Source organism: Homo sapiens, chromosome 6 (assembly GCF_000001405.40).
Source record: "Homo sapiens chromosome 6, GRCh38.p14 Primary Assembly".
In the NCBI taxonomy this organism is placed as follows: Eukaryota; Metazoa; Chordata; class Mammalia; order Primates; family Hominidae; genus Homo; species Homo sapiens.
The window spans coordinates 9198639-9204416 of NC_000006.12; the positions used below are offsets into that span (position 1 = coordinate 9198639).

The 5778-nt window shown below is 34.0% G+C and overlaps 1 annotated feature.

The window, feature by feature from the left end:
- Positions 764-1265: an enhancer, noted in NCBI's record as "NANOG hESC enhancer chr6:9199635-9200136 (GRCh37/hg19 assembly coordinates)". NCBI's record gives its function as "activates a minimal SCP1, AML or CMV promoter by ChIP-STARR-seq in primed H9 embryonic stem cells {active_cell/tissue: H9 hESC(primed)}" and the evidence as "EXISTENCE:reporter gene assay evidence [ECO:0000049][PMID:30033119]".

Genomic DNA, 5778 nt, shown 5'->3' on the forward strand with positions numbered 1-5778 from the left:
CCTCATGATCCTCCCGTCTTGGCCTCCCAAAATGTTGGAATTACAGGTGTGAGCCACCATGCCTGGACAAAATCTTAGATTTTTTTAAGGAGCAGAAGTGATTTCCAAGTTGCCACAGAGCCAATAGTTTGTCCCCACAGGAAGCCGGTAAGAACCCTCCTAATCAAAGTCCATGGCAGATTTAGGGAAGAAAGGTGCTTCCTAGTCAGGGGGCCTCAGTTCAGCTCCTGTGTCCTGAGGCCAAGGCAGCCCATCTCCAGCCCAGTCCACCCTCTTCTTGCTGAGTCACCAGCTTCATCTTCTTCAGAGCCAAATCTCCTGTGTAGAAGGACTCACCCTTAGTGAGCACAATTAGAATCTACAAGCTGAGAGATTATGGATGACTTCACAAGTCTCTTTAAACCCTTTGATTCCAGGTAGTATTTTTTGGTGGTTTATTATCATTTTGTTTTTGTACCATTAATGCTCAAAGACTTAGCAGTGGCTTCAGATATAACAACGCTTGCATAGATAATGATTCTTTAAAATTTTAATTGCCGTCGGGAACACTCCCAAAACTTCTGAAATTATATACTTGTTAAATGTAAGCATTTTTAACCAGTGATGTCATTATGACATATGCAAATATCGTAGGAGTTTTGGGGTATAAATTTATACTGGCAATTTAATTTTGTATTATGTTTGAGGTTAAACATAACTGAAATCATGGCAAATGTAAATAAATGTGTAAAATAAACATAAGTGGTGTGTGAGATACTTCTTCCAGGTCTACTTATCCACTCTTAATCTGCCAGTGGATCCCACTATTCTCAAGTTTAGACCAGTGCTTGACAAATGTTAGCAAGCATCAGAAGCATCTCAAGAGCTTGTTAAAATGCAGATTCCTGGGCTTCACTCCCAAGCATGCCACTTTAGTAGGGACTGGGTGGAACCTGAGAATTTGCATTTCTAACAATTTCCCAGGTGAGGCTGAAACGGTTGCACTGCAGGTAGCAAAGGTCTACGTATAGACTCCAGATGTCTCTCACTCATTGTCTCATTCTATTGCAGTTCTTCCTTTTTCTGCTTCAAAGGAACCTTTCTCCATTAATGTAATAACTGATGATAATTAGTACAAATGTATTCATGAGTGACTCATCCCAGGTTCTATGTGGACATCTCATGAGAATCTTCTTGAGATGCTTTAATTCAAAGAAATAAAATTAATAGTGGAAGTTTTCTATATCACAGAGGATGTTTATTTGGGCACAGAGGACTTTTAGCATCTCAGCATCCATTACTAGATGTAGGTGGACTAGTGTGTGAACAACAGCATTGTCTTTTTAAAACACTGATGAAGATGAACTCATATCTATAGGTAAAGCAGTTTAAAAAGTTTACACACACACACACACACACACACATATATATGTATATATAATTTTTTTTCTCACCAACTGCAAATAAGATTGCTCTTTTCCACAACTTCATGCATCAGGGTATGTAACAGATGTCAAGTGAAGTGACAGGGTTTTGGATGATGTTCGTGAATTAAAGGGCAGATGTCAGTTTCAAGTGATGTGTTTTCTATAATATACTGTCTCTCTTTGTTTATCTTTCAGTTACAATCTATAAAGCAACTGTTCATCTATTTAGTCTTGGGTAGGGTGTAGAAATGCAAGCCAGATCTCAAATTTGGTTTGTCATTTACCTTCTTGAAAGATGTGATTTATGTTTATAATAAAGTATTTGAAATGTCATTTAATAGGAAAACAAATGGCAGTAGGATTCCTGTGAGAAAAACAGAGAGAGAAAAGAGAAAAGGGGATTTGGAACTTTGAATCAGACATTTTTATCTCACTATACTTTAAGTTACATATTTTTATTTTAATTGTAAAAATTATCTGTCTTGATACATCTTTTCCATTTTTTTTTCCAAAAAGAATTCATCAGCTGGGTTAATGATGACACAAAATTTTAATATATGCATTAAACATTTAAGTTTTAATATGTTAACATGTCATAAGATGTGAATAATAACAATGTTTTATATATGAAGTGAAAACATATTTTATGTTAGAAGTAGTTATAATGCTTGAAAAGTGACTTATATCCATAACAATTTCATTTAAATATTGCTTTTGCTTCCCATCTATCTTAGATGCAATTTTATAGTTCTTTTAAAAAATTCATTTCAGTGTGACCTCTTTGAGACTGCAACTTAGTGCCTCTAGCCTACATATCCAATTGTACTTGTATTTGCTCCTATTCAATTACCTTTTAACATGCAGAGAGTAGCTAGCACCCAGGTCTGCATTCCCATTCTGAAACTCTCCAAGAATTACAACTTCAGTTCAGGTGCACTGAAATAAGAGAGAAGGGCAAAAAGAATCTATCATGGTACTCAGATGTTAGATCCCATGGGTAGTTTTAAATGTCCAGAGTCTGGGCTCTTACCTGCCCCTAGAATGGACTTCAGAAACTTTATTCTGAAAAGTGTAGAAATATATTCTTAAAGGAAACCTTGAGAGATTTCTGTGTCTTGCATTGGGAAACAAAGAAGGAGATGCCTGAATAAGAAAGGAACTGTAGTTCATAGAATAGAACCACAGGCACTTTTTCTTTTTTTAAAGATTTGGTTGTCATAGCTACTCTAAGATTCAATTACTACATCAGTAAAAATTGTTGATTTATATCTTCCTCTATGAAAATGCAGTGATAAAATGAGGAAATATACAAATATAATGTTTGAAAAGATCCCAAATTTAAAAAAAATTCAGACATTACTATTACCAGGCATCTATTATGAGACAGATTTGGGAGTTGCCACACATGCTTTCTAGAGTTTAGATTTGTGCCTCTAGTGTTTTGATGATAACTCTTAAGCCTTTGGCAGAAAACTTACACCTTTGTATACAATAAACCTACCCCAGTAGAGCTGGGTCAATATCTATTTTCTTCAGAGTAGAGGGAGGACTACATGGGTTGTATACATATATCAAAATAGCACATTTTACCCATAAATATTTACAGTTATTTAATTAAAAAATAATATTTAAAAGATTTTTAAAAAATATCTAACTGCTGTCTGGATATTTTGCCTTCAGCAGAAGAAAAAAAACCTTAAACTGGTATTGTTCATGAAGATTTACACCAAGAGAACTGTACCAGAAAATATCATCTGATCTTATTAGATTATAAATAACTCAACCAACTACAGAATTCCCTTGACAGATTGCTTTTGGAATTGACTATGAACATGGTAGAAAGTTTCATTTTTATTCTGCCTTTTTAAATCTATATGGATGGGATCTTAGGAAATTAAGTGCATTTTTAAAGACTTTTACAGATATATGTAGTCTATCAAAACTCTCCCCAAAAAACAAAATTTGTTCTTTCCCATCACAACTGTAAAGAATTTGATAAACTTCATCACTAATGTTCATTGACTAAGAAGGATTATTATGTTTTTTCAATGGAATGATTTAAATTGTTATAGAGTGCAAAGCTTCTAGCCAAAGAAATAAATTCCTAATCATGGAATGCCAGATTACAAACTGTGTGAAGAGAAATTTCCATGATGAACCACTTCCCGATCTCACTAGCAATGGCCTAGTTCACCTGCATGTAATCCAGTCCATCTAGCTATTTATTTCTTACATTACTTCTCTATGGCTGTGGCTGTGTTGGGCTGTGCAGTGATTAGATGAAAAATCTATGCATGGTGTCCATGCGTAGATTCATTCTGAAAGCCCTGATGTTGCCACCAGCCTGTGTCAGGCTGGCTTCTCCTGACTATGAAGAGAATCTCTATCATTCTTACATATTTACTAAATGGAGCTCTTTCTCCCCTTATAAATATTTTGTATTTTGACGTGGTTTCATCACTAAATGCATCTCAAATAATTTTACTTGAATAACTATGAACAAGCCTAGTGATTCTTCATACTCCTGCGTTCAGTTGTAAACCTGAATGTGCTCTTTGTTCGTAAATGGAAAAGGAAGCTATTCCACAAATGGCTTGTACTGGTTTGGGTCCAACTCTTTTCTCTTTCCTAAGGTGGCTACACCCATGGTCTTTTAACTGTGGTAGCAACATACTTAAAAAAAAAGTGTTCAAAGAGTCAAGACTTGAGGTTTATTTTTCTTCCAGACTGTTTTGTAATTCTCTGGTTAAAAAATAACTATTGTGTTTTATGAGAATAACAATGTTATTAAAATAGCTCAAGACGTCTTTAGAACATAAAATATCCATGAAAAACAATAATGTACTTAAATAATTTAAGCAGTGATGAATAAAAACATGTGGGTTAAATTTTTCTTAAAATTGTACTCTGATTTCAAAACAAAATAAAAAATAAGTCTGGGAAAAATTCATTTTTGAAGTCAACAAACCAAAGTTTAGTTAATCATTCAAGATATTCATCGAGTTCTAAAATAATAAGACTTTTTAAATTATAAATTAATTATACTATGTTTTGCATATTTAGTAGAGACACCAATAAGTGAAAGCATGAGTAGTTCCATCCTCACCTTGCTGCAGAGGATAGCAGAATAGCCTAAAATAGTATCATTTCTAATGAATGCAAATACAATTAAATCAATTTTATTATTTCAAGCTATAAACGTTTTTAATAGTCCCAAATGGAAATTCTCTTCTACATCTATGATTTGTTAGTACTCTGCTTCTCCTCATGTGTTGTCCAGTATTTGTTGTTATTGTCACTTGCAATGGCGTTTCACCATTCTATTGTCAGCTCCTATATGGCAAGGGGGCAAATCCTACACATGTTGTGCCTGTCACCACACAGAGTATAGTGTCAGGACCATAGTAAAAATATAAAGTCAAGACGTTTAAAAGATTGATCTCTTTAGCAAAACTTCAGAAAATTTTAATCACAATAAAATAAAGAATATTGAAGCAATATTTAAATTTGAGATTTATCAAAGCACCGTATTTTTTTTACTTGAGTTGTTTTGCTTTTGTAAAATTTTATTCTGAATCTTATTTACTGCAAAAACCATAATTGTAATTCAAATCTTAAAAACTAATGTATTCTCCAGCTTTTGGTCTGGGCTGAATCAGTGTCAAAGCTAATGTATATCTTTGTACTGAATATTTTAACTCGGACATTAGTTGGGGGCCACCGTCTTCATTTAAAGCCTGAGATATTTCAGCTCAATATATTGGCTTTCTATTTTCCTGAAGGGAGGGAAAGAAAGAGGGGGAGGAGGAGAAAGAGAAAAATCAGGAAAAGAAAGAGTAAGAGGGAGGACAGGAAGAAAGAAAGAAGAAAGGAGGGAAGAAGGGAGGGAAAGGAAGGAAGAAAGGAGGAAAAATGATAGAAGAGGGAGGTATAAAAATGGTCTTTCTACTCAGAGCTGAAAACCCCTGGGTTTAGGTTCTTTTTAACATAAAAAGATTATATTTATTTGCTAACATTTTTGGTGGTGGCAATTGGAGAGGATGGCAACAGTATTCTTTGACTGTTGATTTATTTTTGTTTTACCAAATAAAATAATAAAACAGTCATCTCAGATACTTTGCTCGAAAGTTTTGTATTTTCTTTTTTTAAATATCATGCATTCCTAATGTAGATGAAAATTGGGTAAAATGCAGCAGTTTGATTTTTTAAAAATAAAAATTTGCCCTGTAATATTTAATGTCCTACTATTAGTTAAGTAGACATTCTTTAATCTTTCTTGAGCTCCCTGGTACTGGGATCCAATATCTGGCATTGAGCCTGATGCAGGTGGTGACTCATTACATTCTGTTTGGATTAAATCATTCACTTCAAG